General features: G+C 33.7%; 1 long non-coding RNA gene across 1 annotated transcript in view, besides 1 other annotated feature; it reads left to right on the forward strand.

The window, feature by feature from the left end:
* Window positions 1–19761, forward strand: part of LOC105370465 (uncharacterized) — a 46310-nt gene extending 26549 nt beyond the window's left edge. Inside the window, exons 2-3 of the long non-coding RNA XR_001750926.1 lie at window positions 18094–18208; window positions 19509–19761. This is a non-coding gene — a long non-coding RNA (uncharacterized LOC105370465). The remainder of the gene's footprint in view (window positions 1–18093; window positions 18209–19508) is intronic.
* Window positions 21144–22343: an enhancer, noted in NCBI's record as "MED14-independent group 3 enhancer chr14:40916062-40917261 (GRCh37/hg19 assembly coordinates)". NCBI's record gives its function as "activates an origin of replication core promoter dependent on BRD2, BRD4, P300/CBP and CDK7 cofactors, and independent of MED14, by STARR-seq in HCT116 cells {active_cell/tissue: HCT116}" and the evidence as "EXISTENCE:reporter gene assay evidence [ECO:0000049][PMID:35650434]".

The following is a 24332-nucleotide window of genomic DNA, read 5'->3' on the forward strand; positions in this document are numbered from 1 at the left end:
TATTTAACTGTATTCTAGTTAAATAAATCTGCAATATGAACAAATTTGACAGAAGCTTAACTAGATAATATTGAAAGAGTGTAAATATACAAAGGTACAATAGACAAACTGTATATGACTGTATATGACTCAACAATCTCTGTAAAAACTAGCTGGGGAAGTCAATCTACAACTTCTGTAGCTTTTTTTTTTTCTTTTCTTTTAGGAACAGACAGGACTTGTTGAACTATTGTTGACTTTGCCCCTGCTTCCAGCTCAGTAAAAACAGATTAAGCCAAATATGCTTCCAAAACTAATCACATGGAATGCCTTACTTCTAATTAGTGTTCTCCAGCTTCCTCTTTTTCTCTCTCTCTTTCTCTCTCTCACTGTAAAGGCTTCCCTCTCCTTTGCCTCCTTTCAGTTTCTGCCAAATCTAAATTATGAAGGCTGATTCCCTTATTACAGCAAGCTCCCAATAAAGAGACTCTGTTCTTATTTGAGTAGCTTTCATTTATTTCCCCAGTTCTCCTGGAGCTTCCATAGAGATACAGTCTGCATTGCCTCTAGACATGGACTCCAGCCTTTAAACAGGTGTGACATTCACAGAGGTCGCTTGTGTCTTGCTGCTTTGCTCATGGCTTGTGGGGTCCCTGCCTATGTGCCACGTCAGCATCAGGTCTGAACTTTACTCTCTTTGCCTTAAATTCCATAGCTATTTATTCTCATTTTGGTAGCTAGATTTTTTTTTTTTTTGGTTCTAATTTGTTTAACATCCTTGGTAGAATCAGGCAATTCCTTTATATCCACTTTTGCTCTCTTTTGTGCTTTTATTTTTGTGTTGTTCTATCTAACAGTGTTACATGTCGTAAGGAGAAACACAAGTTGAATCGCAGCTCAGAACCAAGCATAAGCCTGTGGTTAAATCTGGTCTTGCAGACTGGTATATTTGTGGTCCTCTCCTAACTGGCATCCATGTGAACAAACTGCAGTGGGTCACCAGTAAAACTGGATAAAGTTCTCCTTTTATTTCTGATATTTGGTCTGAGAGCTTGGCTATGATACAGAGAGTACATTTTTTTTTTCTGGTTTTTCATCTGCTAAGGATCCAGATTGTCAGGTCTGTGTTCTGAGGTGGCCAGCAATGGAGTTGAGGGTTTAAGTACATAAGTATTGCTTTAGACTTAGCATTGACACTTCTCATGGGATATTCTAAATGGTATCATCCTCCAGGAAAAATCTTCTGTTTCTTACATGTTTCTATCTCATTATAATTCTGATTTTTGTTTCTGTCTCTCTAAATGACATAATTTCAATAAGACTGATTTGGCCACTCTGGGAAACACTTAACTTGAACTAATTGTTTATTTGGAAGTCTCCTTAGAAAAGGAAGGAGATAAGATTCCTCAGGCCCCAATGGACAGCAATATGTATTAGTACACAGAGCTCTCCAAATATAACCCTGATTAAAAAATTGCTTTGTTGAAAAGAATCCTTGGCCAAATCTAACAAGCAATTTGACAAACTTAAGCAACAACAAACTAGATTCATTTCCTTGGTGAATCCTGCCCCTACTTGTGCTCCAGTTGTCTTTCTATATTGAGCTCGCCTGCTTCTCGCTATGCTCTAATTTGTCTTTTTTCCACCGCTCTACTCCCCTTCCCCTTGTCCTGACCCTCCACCTTTTCCAACAGCTCTTCTAAGATCTCCCAATGCCAGTTGCCTCTAAAGATTCATCCTCCCATGCGCCAGGTAGCAGGCAGATAAGGAATTTAAATCTTTTATCTCAGCTGAATTAAGACTGGTAATTAAGAATTTCCCTGAATCCAGATAAAATCAACCACTATTCATAGAATAATTTAGAACGTTTCAGTGCCTATGACCCAGTGTTACCTGAAGTTGTGATCAACTTCTACACATGTTGATCAGAACCTGAGAAACCGAATCCTGAGCATAAAAGCTGATTGAATTGACCTGGAAAGAGATAACCGGGATCCCTCTTTTCAAAATATACTTGAAGATCAAAAAAAGTTTCAGAAGGTAGAATAGAGGCTCTTAAAACTGCACTCAAACATTTCTAATGAAAATTGATTGAAACATAATTAAATCATGCAAACAAGTAGAAAATGGAACTATAGAATATTTTGAGATAAATTGGGAAATAATTTCTACTTTTTGGTGTTACAGAAGCTGCTGATATAAAAGTGGTCCTTTCATCTTACTTTGTCAATAAAATTAAACCTGAAGTTTGAAACCTAATTTTAAAAAACAGGATTAAAATGAAAAATAGCCTTTTTATCTGAACTACAATACTCAAAAAAAAGAAAAACATTTTAAAGGAACTTTAGAACAAAAATCAGACAGGACTCAAAATAAACGTGTTGTTCTACAGATTAAATAGCTAGGTGGCCTACTTCTGAACCAAGCACTTATTGAGCAGGACACTTGTAGCTATTGTAAACAGGAGGAACACTGGAACAAAAAAGATTCTCTCATATTACAAAAGAGAAATCAGGATGAAAAAAGTCTTTTTATAGATCAAAGAGGGTACTTCAAGAAAGAAAAAGAGCTCAGATCCTGCCTTACACTTAAACAATCAAGGTGAATTAACTATAAACATAGATGGTCAAACTTATCAATCTCTGATTTATAAAGGTGTAACTCTTTTTATATTAAATACTGCTATCTTTGTTCCACTTCTTACTCAAAGTAAGCATACCACACTGGGTATAGGTATTTCAAATAACCAACAGATTTTCTCTGTCTCCTAACCATTAACTATCACCCTCCAGTCCATGAGTGAATATATTTCTTCCTGCTGTGTGATATCATACCTAAAAATTTAATAAGGAATGGCTTAAGTTGTAAACGAAATTGCACATTTATACCAGAAGGACTATTTCTTAAGTTTTAGACTCAGGATTCCTCTACTCATAATCAAATTGTCTTCTTTGTACATATTTTTGTCTTCACTATTACATTTGATACATTCTCCAAAGATCTTGACATCACATCTGATAGACAAGGTGCTAAAAATTTCACTGACATAGAAAAATAATTGATGCGGAACCCATTAAGTTTCAAATAGAGTCTACTAAAGTGCTACCCAAACTTGCCCAAATCCTTTAAAACCAGAAGTAAAGGAAGGATCAAACCTGTAATGGAAGTTTGTATACCTGAAGACTTACTTTATCATGCACTGCATTAGTTCTTGTTACTTTCCTGTCCTTTCAGAAAATAAGCCAAATAATGGAGGAAAACTATTTGTTCCAGGAAAGAAACCAAATGAATGAAGAAATCGACCTGTTCTTGATCTCAGGGTCACCAACAAAATTATAATGCTTCACTTCCCCATAGTATGAAAGCCAAATGCCATCTTATCATCAATTCTGCCTGAAGCTACTACCTTTACTGTACATATCTTTTCTCTGCCTTTGTTCCATGTGCCTTTAGACTAGGAGAATCACTAACTTTTTGCCTTCATCTGGGGAAGACAACAATATACCTAACAGTTGTGCCCAGGGGTCCACTGAAGGCCCCTGCTATTTTTCCCAGGTCCTCAATCAAAACTTAAAAGATCTAAATTTCCTTTGATTCAGTTCTCATACCATATGTAAATGATCTTCTACTTTCTTCAGATAACAGGTACAGACAACAATTTGTAAAATGAATTTCATTTACTTGCTTTTGGCCTTAGCTAACAAAGGAAGCATATGTTTCAAAAGAAAAAGTATAATTTCATCCCACAGTCCATTATTTAGGGCATGACTTTAATAAGGAAAAATAGATTAAGAATGTCCAAACTTATTATAGGCCCCTTAAATGTAATAGTTGAGATGATTTCTAGGTTTAATGGGATATGGCAAAAACTGCATAGAATAAATCTCAAATACATACTCTGCATAGAATAAATCTCAAATACATACTAACACACACCCCTACGCATATTGTATTTAAACTACAGAAAAGAAAATGCAAAAGGAAAATCTTGAAGGCCAGAGACAGAAAACCAGCTTAGATGTAAAGAAACAAGGATAAGAATTACAGCAAACTTTCTGTCAGAAATCATGCAAGCAAGAAGACAGTGGAGTAAAATATTTAAATTGTTGAAAGAAAAATAAACACCAACCTGGAATTCTATAATCAGTGAAATCATTCTTCAAAGTGAAGAAGAAATAAGTGCTTTTTTTCAGATAAACAAAATGAAGAGAATTTATTGCTAGTAGACTTTTGTTGAAAGAAATGTTAAGATGTTCTTCAAGCAGGAGAGAAATTATATGTATATATGCATAATATATTATATATACTCATATATATGTTTAATATTTAATTATAAATTTATAATATTTAATGTTATATTAAATATATAATTACATTATATTATATATAATTGTATATATATGACTAGTGAATGCTTCTCCTCTACAATGAGAGGTCAAAGATAGTCTCTTTCAGCACTTTTCTTCATTATGATACTGAACTCTCTAGGTAATGGAAAAATCTTAAAAATAAATTTTACACATTGGAGAGAAGTAATAAACTATATTTTCTTCATAGATGATATGTTATTCTATGTAGAAGACTCCAAAGATACCTTAACCTTTTACAAAAATTAAGTAAATATTTACTATAGTACTAAATGTAAAATGTAAAATTATAAAACTTTCAAAAGAAACCATAAGAAAAATTCTATGAATTCTATGTGGCTTTGGGTTTGATGATAAGCTTTCATATATAACACCAAGGGTGAAACTAAGAAATTTGATGAATTTGACTTTATTAAATTTAAAATCTGCCTCGCAAAATACACTGTTAAGAGGATGATAAGACAAATCAAACAGTGGAAGAAAATATTTGTAAAACAAACATCTGACAAAACATTTGTATCCAAAATATACAAATAACTGTTAAAACTCAACATTAAGAAAACAAAAATGCATTCAGAAATGAGAACAGTATCTGAACAGATGCCTCAGCAAAAATATGTACAGATGGAAAATAAGCATATGAAGAGATGTTCAACATATTTTGTCATGATAGAATTGCTATTTAAACAATGAGATACCACTGTGTACCTATTGGAATGTCTAAAATCCAAAAACTAACAGCAGTTGCTGGTGTGGATATGGATCAACAGGAACTAAGAGTTTTCATTCAGTGGTGGAAATGCAAAATGGTACAGACACCTTGGAAGACAGGTTGGCAGCTTCATATGAAGTCAACATAATCTTATATGATTCAGCCATTGTGCACTCCCAACTTATTTAAAAGCTTATGCCCACAAAAAAATCCTATACACAAATGTTTGTAGGAGCTGTATACACTATCACTAAACAATGGAAACGACACAAATGACCTTAAATAGGTGAACAGATAAACTGGTAGATCCACCAAATGAAATGCTATTTAGCAATAAAAAGGGATAGCAATCACGCCATGCAAAGACATGTATAAATCTTAAAATCTGTATTACCATTAAAAGAAATAAGACTGTAGGGCTATATGCCATATGATTCCATTCATGTGGTTGTAGAGTTAGAGTTGGTAAACACATCAGTTGTTGCCAGGGATTTGGTGAAGGAGTTGAGTTGTTTAGGTGAAGCACATAGTATTCTTAGGAATTCATACTGCAGCAAGAATATCTAAATATACTAAAAATGATTGAAATAACCTTACTGAAGGGAAGGGAGGATATCTGCTGACTTAAGTAGCACTGGAGATGAATGGAGCCTCTAAGACTGAAGGCAAAATAAACTGCACATGAACACTGTATTCTGGTTGTTCATCTGTTCCCACTGGAGTATGGTTTTAAAATTCTGAAACCACTATACACTTTTTGCATACAGGAATGAAACAAGTAAATGTATGGAAGATGGAGAAAGCTACTGCTGAAGCGAGAGTTTAAAGACAAACAAGGGGAGAAAGCTAGAGTGACCCATGTGGTAATGAATAAGGGTTGGAAACATCAGTATGAACTCATGTTTATCTTAATATGGATAAAGATGGATCCATATGGAAATGTTTATAGATATGTGTATATATGTGTGTTAGTATAAACATGTATTTTTCTCTATCAGCTGAGAGTGCCTAGAAACAATGATATCCAAATATTAACCAACATCCAGAATTCATATCTTGGTTGCTAAGACCCTTCTCCAATAGTAGGAACCAGAATCATTTAGAGAAATGATTGATCCTAGGACTGAAGATGAAAATATACCAGATGAGCTTGGAGCATCCTATTGTACCAGAAAGTAATAATGTGCTAAAGCAACAACAACAACAACAACAACAGCAGCAGCAGCAACAACTCATAGTCATAAGAATACGTCAAAGGGACACAGGGACAACAGAGGTACCATCTGAAAGACTCCCTACAGCTAGACCTGGAAAAATTTGGGTAACATTTCTTTAATTTGTTTTAAATTATAACTCAAAATATAAAATAAGTATCCATGAGATCATACTGCCATACATAAGTGATTTAAAAAGTAAATAATTGGAGTAACAAATTAATGTCTTTTTTGGTTTGATTTCAATTATTTTATGTGGAAACTCTATTCTCAAAGAGGTGGAATATAACTTCTGTTCCCTTATGTATGGACCGTGTATAGTGATTTTTACCTAAAGAACACCATATGGAAAGGGAGAAGAAAAGAATAAGTTTACAGTAGAGAAGCCTGTGAAATACTACCTCAGCCGGTGGTCGAAGTCAATATCAATGGTGATAAATTATTTTGATAGAATGTACCTTTGATACAATGTGATAAAAAGAACACTTTAACTCTTTGATCTTCTTCCACTCAAAATACAATCCAAGTTAATAATGAGAAAAAGCATAAGCAAACTCAATTGAGGAACATTCTGCAAAGTACTTGATCAGTTCTCAAAACTGTCAAGATTATCAAAAGCAAAACTAGTCTGGAAAACTGTCCCAATCAAAAAGGGCCTAAGGAGACATGACAGCTAAATGGAACATGATATCCTAGACAGGATAACTTAACAGAAAAAAGGACTTAGTAAAAACTGGGGAAATATGAATAAATTATACATTTTGAGTTAATTACGTATCAGAATTGGTCCTTTAGTTGTGACAAATATGCCATAGTAATGTAAGATTTTAACAACAGGCAAAAACTGTGTACCTATGGGAACTCTTTGTATTATCTTCTCAACTATTCTGTCAATCTAAAAAATTCGAATATAAAACATTTAGCCCCTCTCCCCTCAAAAAGAAGTTGAAGTATTTTTTTTGTGAAAATATTTTTAAATGAAGTCAAATATTCTTTCATTTTCCATATGACTGTTAGTAGCTCAGCCATGATTCTCTTTGCTGTGTATGGAAGTTATAGACTTTGAAGGAAAATATAATGTAAATTAGCGTATTTGAAAATTGCATATTTGTCAACAGGGGTCTGAAAAATATGTATTCATAAAAATAAATACATTTATTTTAGATCATTTACATTCAGCTATTTCTCTGGCTTTTGTTTTTACATTACCTATGTATATTGATTTTTCAATAAAATATACTCAAGATTATATGAAAATTATTATGAAATTGGCTAGATGAAACACTGCTGTTTAAAATGAAAATAACATTTTTATTTTACTTTCAAATACTCTCTCCTTTTCATTCCCACTTATTATAGGGAGACTTAAAGAATTATTTGAGGTTGTTTGAATAATGAGAATGAGACTAAGAGCATTTATTCTGTAGCTGCAACAGGCTTTTCCTAATTCTTAGGTCTTTGGTAAATCTTTTATAGGACCAAGTGGCTTTTAACATTTGAAGTGGTGGCTTAGAATTTGAAATACTTGCAATATTAGTAATTTATGAAAGCTATAGCTGGGTTAGCTCTTACCTAACTTTTTATTTAAGAATAGTAATAATCAGATACATTTCATTCATGGCTCCTGCTAGGTGAATTTATATTAGGCTGAAATTAAATGGGCTTAATAAGGTGAATGCCAATATCACATAATGAGATGTTCTCTTTAACTAATTTCTAGGATATTATTAGAATACTATAAAAACATTTCCAGAATCCAACTTTAGGAAGTAATGGCATAGAAACTGAGTATTTATTTATGGACTGAGTTTAGACTAGGTTTATTAAAATGGATATAAAGATGGATACAATATAGTTCCTTGCCTTCAAGAAGCTTGATTTGAGAGGAAGAAGCAGTGCAAAGCCCTATATCATGCCTCTGATAAGAGAAGCACTGGGTGCTGGGAGGCCCCTAAGAGAGATGCTTAAACAAAACTGAGTAAGGAATTGAGATAGGAACTGGTTTCTGAAAATGTAATTTAAAAGGAGAGTTGGAATTTAGGTAGAACTCAAGAACTTAATCTGTACAGACAGAACACGTGTAAGACATTTTGGCAGAATGGAGTATTACTTATTACAGAAAATTGCAAGGGTTCAGTGTGCTTCAGGGCAATTATTAGAGTTAAGGCTAAAGAGGCAAGTGAAAGACAAATTCAACTAAGTCAGTAATAATGTCTACTTAATTTATGGTTACTTACATCATATTCGTTATTAGTGCAATGCCAACAGATATTTTTGTAGTTTTATGGTAGTAGAAAAATCTGTGTCATTCCTGACATAGACAATAATGATAACTCCAATGTAATGTCTAATTTGAAGGTAATAAATGCAATTGATTAGAATTATTCAGACCTGGATTCCTGATTGTGAGGGAAGGAAGAAAAGAGTAAACTAAAATGGTTTATTATCTCATCTAGAGAATTCCAGTTAACTGAGTGGACTTGAGGGATGATGTCCTCTTTTCTGTAAGTTGTATAGGGGAAGTACAATTTACTTAAAATACTGATATCCCTCAGTAAAAATTTTTTAAGGTTTTATTAGCTACTGTTTTGGCTTCTAAATCTTAGTAAGACTGTCATATATTAACGTGCAATGAAAGCAAGAAGTGTATTCTGCAAAGCATAGGAGACTTATATAGAGTTGGGCATGCTTGTTTCTATTTTTACCTTTGTAAAGGTAAAAAATAGACTCCGTGACTCCTGCTTTTTTCTGTTGTAACAAAATTCAGCTTTCTCTACATAGTGGCTCCAAACAAAATCCTAGAAATGACTAAATACTACAGAAAATATGTCAGATTTTGTTTATCTAATGCTTATAAATATATAATATAGTTACAACTGAATGTAGTCACATTGATGTTATACCATTTGTCATTATTATAAAATAAGTATTCATAAACTGTGTGCCTACTACATCCAGAGGTTGTCCTAGGCACTGCTAAGATGTTGTACAAAATAGCCTCAGCTACTCTCAGATAGGTTACATTCTAGGAGTATTTAGCCCCAGCGTGTAGGGCTTTATGAGTCCTCACTAAAACGGCTATATAAAAATATCAATCAGTGATATGATTGTAACTAATCCTAAAAAATTAAATAAGTATTTATAGAATCAGAAATACTCAGATCTAATCCAGCATCTTTAAAACTGGGCAACATAGCTGAATGTCAGATATCTGTTTAAATGCTCTACGGAGATCTCTATGTTAAATAATATCTCAGAAAGAATGTATGCAACAATCTTTGGAAATCTGAAATATGTACTAACATACTTTAATTAACTTCTATTAACTTTAATATACTTCTATTCACATTTACTTTTATCGAACTTGAAATGGTGAGTTTCATTTTTGTCCAGTTCATATCATCTGGGGAATTAATACAGTTCTCTAAATACTCTGAAGGTCACCTACCTTATGTTCATATCCTAGAAGATAATTGAATTATGATTTTTTAAAGCAGGTTTGTTATGTTTTGAGGAAAGCGAGTCTACAAGCTATTTTTTTGACAGGAGAAAAAATCTTAGGAAAAACACACTATACAGAGAGATTCGTTTCACAAATTTGTTATATACTAGGATATGAAATCACAGGAAAGTGTAGATTTAGATATTCATTGGATGTGGCATCAGGTAAGAAGCATAGAGCTGATAAAGAATATAATTTAACTTTGTTTTTCTATGTCTGAGAGTCCCAAATGCTATAATTCTATTTTCTGACATATCACATTTTCTATCTAATTTGATCTAAAATTATATAATCACTTCAAATTTATGCTTGGTGTTCCTTGGTTGTGCATGGGAAGGCAGAAATTTGCAGTATATAAAAGGAGAGTTTATTTCCTCAAAAAATGCTGTATTTATCACTAGTTTCATCATTTACTGTGGCAGTGCCTCCAATATTACCATGAAGACTGCATGAAACAAACGTTCAAGGAAGCTAAATGCTGTGAAAATAGAAAGGCTATATGGGAAATGGATGATTTTTGCAATGAAGAAAAAATCCAGTTGCTCCATTGACCACTGACAAGGAGGCCATTTAACAAATAGTACTTATTAAAGAATACACTTTAACAGTTTCATAAAGCCCAAGCCAATACTGGAACAGAGACAGATTCATGAATACCTGGGATTAGATTCAGATAATGTAGACAATTGTATTTTTTCCAACATCAGAAATGTGATCAAACATTAACATTAATATCATTCAATAGTGACTTTGGACTTTTGGCTGTTTGCTTCCGAGAAATGTGAGTTGTTTGACTCAGTTTAGTCAGGGTTTGGAGACAAAAAATATCTTATAGTGTAAAATAGATGCTTTCTTATCTGGAGTAAAATCTAGTTCTACTTCACTGGTGGTGGAATAAAACATGTAAATATCATCTGGAAGGCCAAGCCTATTAAGATCAGGAGTGGAGGGGTACCACGTTATCACCAATATAATTAGGAGAGAGAGCTATATAATGAATAAAATCATTTTATAAGTCTATTTTCATTCAACATTAGTAAGAATAAATACTTATACAATAATATAAACATGGAAAATACTAAAGAAATGACATATTTTACCAATTTAACAAAGACCACAACACACAAAAGGAGACAAACAATAAATCAGGTAGTTACAATTTAGTTTAATGACAGGGCAAAATTATCGAGACATCTATAGGAATAGCAAGTAATTCAAACACAACTAAAGGAGGGCATGTCAAAGAAAAATGCTGACAGGTGCTCTTCGAGCTGAATGTTAAAGGACAATAAAAATTAGGTGTTCAAATTAGTGGTAGAATAGTATTCCAGTGAATGTTATTCAGGGACAGGAGTGGAGCGAATGGTAGCAGAATAGGCAAAACTGCAGAACACAAAGAAGCATGGCTTATTTGTGTGTAAATTTATTGGGGGTAATTCATCTGGAGATGAGATTGATCAGGTAACTGGGAAAAAGGGAACAAATCAGCCAGCTTACTCTCATCTATTTCTTTCTGCATTCATAAAACACAAAATTGGAATGATCTCTTGTATTAGTCAGGATTCTCAGAGAAACAGAACCAATTGTGTGCATACAAGCTGAAGATCCAGAGAAGAGTTGATTTTGTAGCTTAAGTATAAAAGCCAGTTTGGAGGTATAATTTCAGAGAGTTCCTTCTTTTTTTCTATTAAGGCCTTCAACTAATTGGCTGAGGTCCACTCACATTAAGAAGGATAATCTGTTTTTGTGAAAGTCTACTGATTTAAATGCTAACCGTATCTAAAATATATCTTCACAGAGACATTTGGACTGGTGTTTGACTAAATATCTGGGTACCATGGCCTAGCCAAGTGGACACATAAAATTAACCATCACGAATCTACTCCTTGTAAACTTGGTACTCATACACGTCTCCTCAAGCAACACTTAATCTCCATATAAACACAACAACATGGTCACATTTCCATTTAACATGTTACATGGATATTTCAGTAGTATTGCAGGTTTCATTTCTGAACATTGCTAGAAAGCAGATATTGAAAGAAAGAAAGCTATATGAACTTTTTATTTCTCAGTGCATATGAAAGTTATGTTTGCATGATACTGTACTCTACAAAATGTGAAATGGCATTATATATAAAAATACAATGTAAATACCTTAGTTAATAATTATTTCATTACTAAAAACTTAAAATGATCATCTGAGCCTTTAATGAGTCATAACCATTGTGCTAGTGAAAGGGCTTGCCTCCACGTTTGTGGCTACTGACTGCTTAGGATGGTGGTTGCTAAAGGTTGAAGTGGCTGTTGCAATTTCTTAAATACAACAACTATAAAGTTTGTCACATTGATTTACTCTTTCCTACACAAAAATTTTTCTGTAGCATGCCATGCTGTTTGATAACATTTACCCACAGTAGAACTTCTTCCAAAATTGGAATCAATACTCTAAAACCCTGCTGCTGCTTTATAAACTAAGTTTATGAAATATTAAAAACCTTTGTTATCATTAAAATAATGTTCACAGCGTGTTTACCTGAAGTAGATTCCTTCCAAGAAACTATTTTCTTTTCTCATGCATAAGAAGCAGCCTATTAGTTGTTCAAGTTTTGTCATGAGATTGCAGCAATTTGATCACATCTTTAGGCTGCACTTCTAATTTGAGTTCTCTTGCTATTTTTCACCACATCTGCAGTGACTCCCTCCACTGAAGTTCAAATCCCTCAAAGTTATCCATGAGGGTTGGCATCAACTTCTTTCAAACTCCTGTTAATGTTGACATTTTTATGTTGTTCCATTAATTATGAATGTTCTTAACGTCATCTAAAATGAGAACACATGGACACATAAAGGGGAACAAGACACACTGGGGCCTTTTGCAGAGTGGAGGTTGGGAGGAGGGAGAGGCTCAGAAAAAATAATGAGAGGGTACTAGGCTTAATACCTGGGTGGTGAAATAATCTGTACAACAAATCTCCCTGACACAAGAGTTTACCTATGCAACAAACCTGCACTAGTACCCCCGAAGTTAAAATAAAACTTAAGGAAAATAATTTTAAAAATAAAAAAATAAAAAATGAATGATGAGTTCTTTCCAGGAGGTTTTCAACTGGCTTTGCACATGTCCATCAGAGGAATCACCATCTATGGCAGCTACAGCCTTATGAAATGCATTTATTAAATAACAAGAATTGAACATTGAAATTACTCCTTGACCAATGAGCTGCAGAATGGATGTTGTGGTAGCAGGCATACAACGTTAATCTACTTGTACTTCTATATCTGAGCTCTCGCATGACCAAGTGTCTTGTCAATGAGCGGTACTATTTTGAAAGGCGTCTTTTTTTCTGAGGACTGTTCAACAATGGGGTTAAAATATTTATTAAACCATGTTGTAAATAGATGTTCTGTCTTCCAGGCTTTGTTGTTCCATTTACAGAACACATACACAGTAGATTTAGCATAATATTTAGGGGCCTTAGGATTTTTGGACTGGTGAATGAGTGTTGGCTTTAACTTAAAGTCACCAGCTGCATTAGCCCCTAACAAGATATCCAGAATATTCTTTGCAGCTTTGAAGCCACATGTTGATTCTCCTTTCTCTCTGCAAGAGACAACATCTTCTTTCACTGAATGACTGTTTTGTCTACATTGAAAATCTGTTGTTTACTGTAGCAACTTTAATCAGTTATTTTAGCTAGATCATCTGGATAACAAGCTACAGCTTTCACATCAGCAGCTTTACCTTCATCTTATTTGATATGGAGATGGCTCTTCTTACTTGAACTTCATAAACCAACCTCTACTTGCTTCAAATTTTTCTTCTGTAGACTTCTCACCTCTTTTAGGCTTCATAAAATTGAAGAGCATCAGGGCCTGGCTCTGGATTAGATTTTGGCTTAAGGGAATATTGTGGATGATTAGATCTTTTATTTAGACCACTAAAACTTTCCCCATATCAGCAATGAGGGTATTTTGCTTTCTTATCATTCATGTGTTCACTGAAGTATTACTTTTAATTTCTTTTTGCATTTATAACATTTTCTTTGCATTTACAACTTGGCTATTTATTCGGCACAAGAGATCAAGATTTTAGCCTATATTGGTTTTTAACAATGCCCTTCTCACTAAGCTTAATTATTTCTAGCTTTTGATTTAAAGTGAGAGATGTGTGACACTTTCTTTCACTTGAACACTTAAAGGTCATTGTAGGGTAATTAATTGGCCTAATTTCAATATTATTGTGTCTCAGGAAATAGGGAGGCTCAAGGAGAGAGAAATGGGCAATGGCCAGTCAGTGGAGCAGTCAGAACACACACAGCATTTATCGATTAAGTTCCCTATCATATATTGGTGCAGTTTATGAACTCCCAAAACAATTATAATAGTAATATCAAAGAACACAGATCATGATAACAAACATAATAATAATCAAAATGTTTGATATATTGAGAGCATCATTAAAATGTGACACAGAGACACAAAATGAGCACATATTGTTGCAAAAATGGCACCAATAGACTTGCTGAAAAGAGTTGCCACAAACTTTCAAATAGTAAAAAATGCAATATTTGCAAAGCACTATAAAGCACGATAAAAAGATGTATACCTGTACAACTGTCCTGCATATAATTGAAAATGCACTAATTTATTCTATAGAAGAGAATGAAAAGTATGTGGGGGATGTTCATTATTCTCCTCGATACGTTGTAACTTAAATACTATGATGTTAAGATAACAATATGTAAGTAACGATATGTAGAGTGAGTACATCGTTTGTTATGTCATAAGAGGATAAGAGAGGGGAGAAAACAAAGATATTTGCTACACACACATGCATACCCACCTATTTAAAAAAAAGAAGAAATACTCATGACAACTATAGGCCTCATTTCTTTAACTTATCACATGGTCATAGGTGGAAGGTACAACTACCTTCTTCCACTAATCATTCTGTATTCTCTTTTCTTTGAAGAAGCAACTCAGATGGTCATGATTCTTTACCTGGTACAGGCAATCAAACCTTTATTCCTGAAGAGTCTAGGGTCATTAGTAGTTCTGTAGAAAGTGGCTTGTAGTTTTTCATTGACTTTAATCACAGAGCATGGTAATATTAACAGATGCCCTGAATTCTTCTGTATTCCAGAAATACTCTTTCTTATATCCACTCATCCAAGTCAGTGTAGTATTAATCACTCCCTTCTTTGCCTATTGAATTAGAGGCATGAGGAAGACAAAGTGGCCAGGTAGCAGTCTTAATTTCCAATTCAAGGGAATCATTTTTGTATCTCCTGGTGGAAGCATTGCTCACTTTGGAACTAAGACTTTCAGGTCAGAAGAGTGTAAGGTCATAGAGATAGGAAGTACATATAGCCTAATGCTGCCTCCTTATGTATTTTAAGTTTGGCTTAAGTATTTCTCTGTACATACTAAATTGTAATCTAACTGGGTGTGTAAACACACTGTATTCTGTTCTTGTACCAGCCAGCAAGTTTTCACCAATGAAAGGTGGCCAACTGTTCAAAACATGTTCAAATTCGGCAAATACCAAGCTGTAACCAATCCAGCTGTTTTTGTACCTCACTTCCATTTTCTGTATGTCACTTTCCTTTTTCTGTCCATAAATCCTCTCCAACCATGAGACAACCATTGAAACTCTCTGAACCTGTTCTGATGGGAGAAACTGCCTGACTGAGGAATTGCACTTCACTCAATTAAACGCTGTTAAATTTAATTTGTCTAACATTTTTCTCTTAACAGAAACAAACGTTTTGTTATTAGGCCACTAAGAATGATAGTAAGTGTTACCACTTCCATTTCCACCTCTTGGTTCCTGGACCTGTGAAACCTGGCTATGTAAGAAACAGCACCATATATTAAATGTTGAATCAGAGAATATACAGCCCTATGGAGAGCCTTGCTCCAGGCCCTCAGAAGGTATTGCCACCTGCCTGGCATGATAACTAAGTCTTCAAAGGACATTCACCGTTGTACCAAGCCAGCTGCTTCCAGATGGCAGGGAACATGGTAAAACCAATGAATTACTTGAGGATTAGCCCATTGCTACATTTAATTGGCTGTTAAATGAGTTCCTCGATGAGAAGTCATGCTCTGTGAAATACCATGACAGTGGAGAAGACATCTGTAAGTCTGCAGATAGTAGTTTTCACAGAATCATTCTGTGCAGGGAAAGCAAATCCATACCAACAATAAGTGTCTATTTTAGTTAAGACGAAAACACTGCCCCTTCCATGATGGTAGACATCCAATGTAATCAATGTGCTACCAGGTAGCTGGCTGATCACTCCTGGGGAAGGGTATCATTGTATCATTTCAGGACTTGATGTTGGTCTATGCTGCTGGAAGATTGGGTACTCAGCAGTGGCTATGGTCACGTTGGCCTCGGTGAGGGGAACTCCATGTTGCTGAGCTTATGGATTGCCACCATGCCTGCCACCATTTTATTGGCTGCAGAATATAGCAGCACAAAATATCTTATTTTAATTATATTCTATATATAAGAAAAAGTATCAAATTTTATGTCTTTATTTTATCACCACTTGCAACATTATGAAGTGTACCAATGCCCAATTTTATTTTTTATGATATTTTCAAAGTACTATTTGGAAATGTTCCTCTCATTTGTATAAATCTCACTCTGGTTTATGAGGAGAGAGTTGGTGTCTTAATTCAACATGGTATATTCAAAGTTATTTTAATAACAAGAAGTAAAATGTTTGGGAAATTTTTCAGAAAAAAAATGCACTAACCAACAAATAAAAGTATATTTTGTTTATTTTCAATAATGAAATATGGGTGACATATTTATTACAGATTAAACACTGTCATCAACAGCACTCTTTTGGTTTGGTTCAGTGTCAAATAAACGTTGATGTGTAAATAATGGGGTTATTCTATCTATCAAGTACTGATGTTCTTTCAGGCTTATAATTATTAGCTTGAAAAGCATCAATAAGTGGGTAATTTTATTATGCATTTTTAGGGCTTTTTTAAGATTTATTTTCTGTCCATCATATCAAGGACAGCAAAGAAATCCTGGTCTTCTTCAATAATCACAATTTTATCGCTTTGCTACACTTTAAAATCCAATAAATCAAAGACACCTTCAAGAAGAAAGAGAGAAAGTAAGTTATGTCTAAATTTGCTGTGTAAAAATTTCATTTAATTTGAAGAACTTAGAAGTCATATATACTATATCTGCAATGTTTTACTATTTAACTTTTAGATTTCAAAATAAAGATAAGCAAAAATAAAATGACCTGCCTATCTAATAGATTAAATGCCCATGCCATGCTGAAGCACAGAAACTAGGACATGTAGTTACTTCTGTGGCTGCGTTGAGATGACATGGAATGACAGAGGGTGCTGGCAAGTTCTACTGATTGACCAGTTTAGATTGTGACATGATCCAGGACCAATACACTTCCATTTGCTTGTTTTATTGTCCACCAAAAAAAAAAAAAACTTTCTTTGCTATTTTATTCTTTATGATTGACTTTCTCTAGTTTTATTCAGAATGAGTACTATATGACAGGTATTCTTGGTCCTTGGCTATAACAGAAAACAAAATAGATGAAACTTCCTGCCTTTATGAGACTTACATACTAGTGAGGTAACATAAATAAAAATAAATATTATAAGTATGTATACTTATAGAATGTTAGAACATTAAAGTACTAGGTGGAAAAGTAGAACAGGCTGAGAAGAATTAGGGGCATATGAGTAAAGGTGGTGTGAATAGATGAATAGATCCAGTTAAGAGGATAGCATTTGATAGGAGGCCAATATTTTCAGTGATGTTCACAGTGAAATTTTTTTTTTGTTGGTTTAACACATGACCTCAGTTATAATCAGATTTATCATGTATCCATAAAGTAAAAATGAATCTATTATCTCAGAAATAATTTTCTTTTAAGCAGTGCAGTTTTCATTATTATCTCATAGATTATTTTCCTCTTTGACATTTTATTGTGCCGAAATTTAGTTTCAAATTTTTCATTGAGAATTATTCCTTTTTTAGCAAAAAAAAAAAAAAAAAAAAAAAAAATACAGTGAGACAGTGAGTTTTATGGGAAAGCCAGAGTATTTTCGTTAACTTCCAAGGTTGTGAAACTTCCTCAGTAGCTGTCTGGGTGAAGGCCATACCAATGACATCAGATTATTTTTCCTTGTTTGCTTTTGTTTTTGAGTTTATTCTTGTTTTGTTTTTTAAGCCAACTATACTACTAATGGTACATAATAAAAATTGGGCTCTTTTCCATGAATTTCTACTAATTACATTTTTCGGTTTAATTTCAGATAAATGTTAAAATGAGCTTCACAAAGATTAATTTATTTTTAATGAGACTTGAAGAGTGCTAATAGATTCTAATCCCTGAACAAAAGGAAAGTTCAAGCCAGCAAAATGGACAAAGTAGGCAAAATATTAAGTTTCAGATTTGAACTATTTATTTCAAATTACTGCTTAAATTATTAAAAAAAATTTCTATATTCCCATTTATTTAATACAGTTTCTATGTGGTATTAAAGCAATTTGTGACAGGTATTTCCTCAAATAATTCAAGTTTAAATGAGCACTGATACCAAATAAACTCTTAAAGGTGAAATGGAAAATAGAGTATAGAAAAATGTATTCGTTATTCTTTTATTCACTTATTGAGTATATATTATACTTAGGCTCTATAGGAGTCAAGGAGGAGCTAGATGAGTGTGAGTGAGCAGAGATAGAGAGTAGAACATATTTTAGGTGCATGTGGCATTTCTGCAAAGTACTGGGAAATAACATGATGCATTCAAGGACATATCAGTAATTTGATGTATTTGGAAGATAGAATTCCAAAAGGAAAGAATCAGAAGGAGAAATTGATAAGATAAGAAATTGATATAATAATTGTTATGCTAAAAAATATTAGTGGACTAATATAGGGCTTTGGGCAGAGAGGAAATCTACTTTCACCTTTGTCTTAGATATTTCAGTCTGTCTGGATGTCAGGATGAAAATTGGGATATCTATTAGAATCTTGCGGAATTAATCCTAGTGGAAGATGAGAGATGTGACATTGAGGGGTGAGGAAAATAAAATGGGTTCAAGAGATTTAAAAAATAAAGCCAGGAGGTCATGCCTTGGTGTTAGATTAGACTCAAGAAGTGAGGGAATGGATACAGTCAAGTGTGTTTTCCACATGGGCAACTGCATCTATTGTGGTGCCAGGTGCACGGATAGTAGCAAAACATATTTGATAAGTACTAATAATAACTACAATGCATCCAGTTTGGAATATTCTCAGCTTGAGATGCTTAGTGGTAAATCAGGCAGATATATCTAGGAGAAACTATATATAAATGTTAGTAACCAGATTAGAACTCGGCAATGATATATGGATTTGGAATGATTTGTGCAATAATTGAAGTCAAGTAATATTGCAAGAGAACACACACATTACATTACAAGAGAAGCCAGGAAGGAGGCCTAATATGACATTAACTTTTACTAAGACTGGAAGAGTAGCCAAGAACAGAGATTGATAGGGAGAGATAGAAAGAGTGGAAAGAGAAGTAGAACAGAATCAGGTCCTATAACTTAATGGAGGAGAGAGTTTCAACAAAATGGAAGTGGCTAGAAGTCCGAATAATGCAAAGAATTAAAAATTGATGATCACTAAACAGTGTTCATTGTATGTTTCAACAAAGAGATTATTTTTGACCTTTGCCAGATCAGCAGTATTGAAATTGAAATGGCGACAGATCGAAGCCTGAGCGAGAAGAATAGAGCAAGAAGACAGAGCAAACAGTACAAGGTCCCAGAAATAATAGGAAGTGATAGGAACAGATTTTTAAATGGATGGTTTACCTTTATTAGGAGAATGTTCAAGACACGAAGGAAAGAAGAAAGGATAAAACAGAGGCATACATGTTCATAATAAAAGAGACAAGAATTGAAAGGACTTTCTCTCTGATAACTTCTACTTTCTCTGTAAAGAACAGGTAAGAATTTGTAAGGATGAATGGGGGAGACAGGCAAGATTTTGAAATAAACATTGTGAATAATGAAAAAGGAAGACTAGTGAAAGGATTTGAGGGGAAATACTAAGAATATTGGTTGGATGACAAAATTGTTTAAAATAACATGGCCCAAACTGTCCCATTTTAGCATCTTCAGCTTTTTTGAATCAAGAAAAAATGTTACAATAATACAATAATATTATTGTTACAATAAATCGTGATTAGAGAGCAGGATTTTGGTCTTATCTTTTCATCTTTATCCAACTAAGATATAACAATAAGAACATTTATTTTGATGAGTGTTAATTAATAATAGATGTCCATTTCAAGAGGGGAGATTGGCTTATGTTTCTATCCTCTTTCCCACAAATCTCACTGTATCAACAGTAAAGATATTTAAAAATACCCGTAATAGACACGGAATGAAAGAGGACTCACACAAAGACCAGATGCTATGATGGAATTCAGAAAATCTATGGATTATATTGTTGGCTAAACCAGAGCAGAAGAAGCTGCACAGTGAGAGTGCCCAGACCAGGAAGCAGTGATAGAGGAGTAGGGGGTGTGTACAGGATTTCCTCTTGACAGGAACCCAGAGAGCATATATAGAGTCTTGGGGAAGACTATGATAACTAATCAGAAAGAGACTGGAGGAAGAGTGGGGGTGGGAGGATAGAAAGTAATCAGAGTGAATTAAATTGCAGTACAAAGACCAGCAGCTCTCCTCATCCCATTCTCAGGCCCCTGTATAGAGATTGATATTAAATCAAGATGTGTTCCTTTTGAATCTGAGGGATCTGCCTAAGAAAGGCCAAGCCTTCCATTGCTCACATTGTTCCCCAAGAATAGAGTACTTTATATTTTTGCATTTGGAGATCACTCCCTGACAACATAAGCTAAAGTGAAGTATAGGAGTTAACATATCTCACCACTCACGCACACCTTACTGTCAGCTGTTTCATTGCAGAGACTTAAGAAAAAGTGGAAGAAAATTATGTAGCCACCAGTATTATTTCATGTAGTATTTTCATTAAATTCAAAAGGCATTTGAAGAAATTCAAAACCGTAACAGAGGACCACAGTAAGTAACAATTACTGTCCACTGGAGTAACTGAGGTGATGTAGAGAAAAGAAGAATTTCAAAGTAACATTTAACTAGTTTGCACAGAAATAGCCAAGATAATATTAAATACATAAAAAGCTTGTAAGGAGAAAGATAAGTTTGTAGTCAAAGTGTAACATTAAATAGTGATATTGTTTTGAGTGCTAAATGAAGTTACAGAAAAGAGAAACTGCTCTATCTGCAGATTATTTGGAAGTGTGTCAAAAATAAGATAAACTGATGGGTGGATAGAGTGATGGAAAACTGAATAGATATATGGGTAATGTAGAATGTAAGTGGTAGGTTGAAACACTCACCTTTGCTATATCTTTGAAAAATGTCAAAATAAAAATTGAGATGGGGGTACTTTGTAACTTTTCCCAGTATATCTATTTCCTTTCCCCTTAAATTTGAGCTGATCCTGTTACTTGCTTTCACCAATGGAAGGAAAGTGACTGTGTGCCAGTTCTGAGCCTAGGTCTCTGGAGACTTACGTGCTTTTATTCTCTTTCTTTGCAACTTACTTTTTTCAAGAACACATCAAGTCCAGTCACCTGGAAGAGGGGAGACCACATTGAGCAGCGCTGAATCGTTCAATCTGAGTGCACCTAGAGCATGCAGCCTCCAGCTGACTAGGGAGTTAGTTGATTTAGACACATGAAACAAGCCCAGACAAGATCAGCAAAACCACTCAGCCAACTGGTAGATTTGTGAGACTTAATAAATAGCTGTTGTTTCAAGCCACTAAGTTTTGAAGTGTCTTGCTTTCTAAAAAAAAGAAAACAAAAAGTGAAACCTCTAGGCCCTAAAACTTGGAATATCTTCTTTGACCATTATAGGTTTAGGAACCTGGGATTATATTTTAATCTCTATGGGCCTGATCACATTATTTGGTTCAGCAAAGAGTAATCAACACTGTTTATTGGTTCTCACTTACAATAACAACTAAAGAGAAAACAGGAAGGAAAAAGTAGATATAAGTAAAAGTAAATATTGCAAAATTTGACGACTTACATATAATGTTAGAAGTTCCAATAAATATAATGGACTGAAAACACTGTAGCCTATTCTTTCTTTCTTAAGTGAACAAAACTAAAGAAAGTAATTTTAAAAAATAAATAATGCATTGAAAAATAAGAAAGTTTTCTCTACTAGGATTCATGAGGGATAGCTGAAAAAATAAAAGAATAACATAGAAAAAGAAAGTAATGGTCCGAAACAGACATAGGAGAGGAAAGTAAAAAACGAGGCAGGAGCTACTTTGAATAGGAGGTTGTTCAAATCAATGGATAGGGCAATTGGTTGTGGCAGCACGACAGTGGTAGCCAGGAAGTCTGCTGTTTCCTTCTCCACCAGGCATCAAGCTTTAATCAAGGTGCTTTTGTGCAGAAGCAGTATAACTGGATGGTGAAATTAAAATGTTAACACAGTGTCTGGGATCATTGGTGACCCCAGAAGAAATAGAGGGAAGTTTTATATACAATAAAACGCCCCATACTTCCTTCATTCCTACCATAGGCAAACAGTAATGTAAGCCTTCCTAGCTCTTTCTGTCCCTCCTATCAAGTTTTGCAGAGATTAAAAAGGCATATTAGCATTCTAACTACAAATTGCCACCACCAAGAAGAATTACCGAGAAAAGATAATATCACGAAAGAGACTTACACAACTCAATAAATAGAATTACATTAAAAGCATGTTAGATTATATGAATACTTCTTGGATATAATGTTAGAATACATATAATTAATGTCCTCAGAAAGATAAGTTACTGTATCCATAAAAAGATTTTAAAAAATATTATTTGGAATTTAAAATTTAATGATTAGATTATTATATTAATAGAAAATAGACATTGCTGAAGAGCAGGTAGCACGCTGAAAGTTTACATTGCAATTTTTAGGACAGTAAGCTAAAAATAGAGGTGAAAATTTTAAGAAAAAAGTTAATATACATGGAGGTAAATGAGTCATTGAAACATTATTTAAGTATAGTGTTAGAAAAATAAAAGTGTTAAAAAATAAAAGTATAAAGAATACTCAAAAATGCAGTGACATTGATTAAAAGAACTAAAGCATAGAATTCACCTATATGACATTATAAGAGTCATCCTAAAATCACTGAAACAGGAAGACATAAAAAGGTAAAAATCACATACAAGATGATTGCTTACAAAAAGAAAGAAGACAAAGTATAACTCAAGATAAAGTGCTTAAAAAAGAATAAAATGAATATATATTGTTGGCAAGAGGGAAATTTAAGAAGGTATGATAACTATTAAACCATATATTATCCTAGTTGTAAGGTATATAAAATAAAAATTGATCAAATCATATTAAGAAATTTATACATAAATAACTATAGACAGAAAAACTTTTCTCAGAAAATTGATGAGGACCAAAAAATGTAAGTCTATATAGGGTTTATGATAACAACCTTAATTTAATAGATAGTGTGAAATAAGTAAACAGTCCTGGAAGTGGATCACATCCTTTAGGGAAAACAAGAAAGAGTCATAAAAACAACTAGTATAGGCTCAGGGCATACAGACATAAATTTAATAAACATAAAAATTAACCCCATGTAGGCAAACTATTTCATCTTGTAATGTTCCTAATATCCTTACCAATCCAGATGATTAATTTAAACTAATATTGGTACTCTGATTCCCTTTCTAGAAATTGCTCTATGATTAGTTATGTGACTTATGCTAGTGCCTGAGCATAAAGTGAGGTATTCTCAGAAAATTCCTGACAAGGTTTAACATCTAGCACTTGACTAAGTGATAATGGTCTGTTTAAATACTTCCTCACCAAACATGCCATATTTTTTTTTTGGACCATATCTTGCCTCTGTGATATTTTATATTTTGGAATATGCAGAAAGCAATTTTCCATGTATTGCAAGTTTGAATGTTTTGTGGGTTTTTATTTTTTTAACCCCTTCTTTAGCTTTCCTTGGTCAGGTGTTGTTAACTCACTACTTTGTATCTCTCTTTTGTCTTCTTTGAGTCCTCTTGAATCCTACTCCCAACCTCTATTATACATAAATGGAATATCTTCACAGCTGTACCCTCATCTTACTTTTTATAATGAAAAGTAGGACAGAGATAGTGCAACTTTTCTCAATAGTCTTAGATTTTATCTTTCTAATTAAGAGATATTTATTCAACCATTTAGGGCAACAAATATTAATTTAGATCACCTCATCTCTCTTACTTTGTATCATACCCAAGTATAAGTTTTCTGAATTGTAGCTCTAAATATGAACATGAAAAATAAGTTTTTTAGAATAAAACCTGGGAGAATATCTTCAGAACTTGCAGTAGGCAAATGTTTGACAAATAGAACATTAAAATGCCCAGATCACATGATATTTTTTATAAATTGGGTGATATTGATATCAATAATTTATCTTCATCAAGAGTAACCAT

The sequence above is a fragment of the Homo sapiens genome, chromosome 14 (genome assembly GCF_000001405.40).
Source record: "Homo sapiens chromosome 14, GRCh38.p14 Primary Assembly".
NCBI classification, from domain to species: Eukaryota; Metazoa; Chordata; class Mammalia; order Primates; family Hominidae; genus Homo; species Homo sapiens.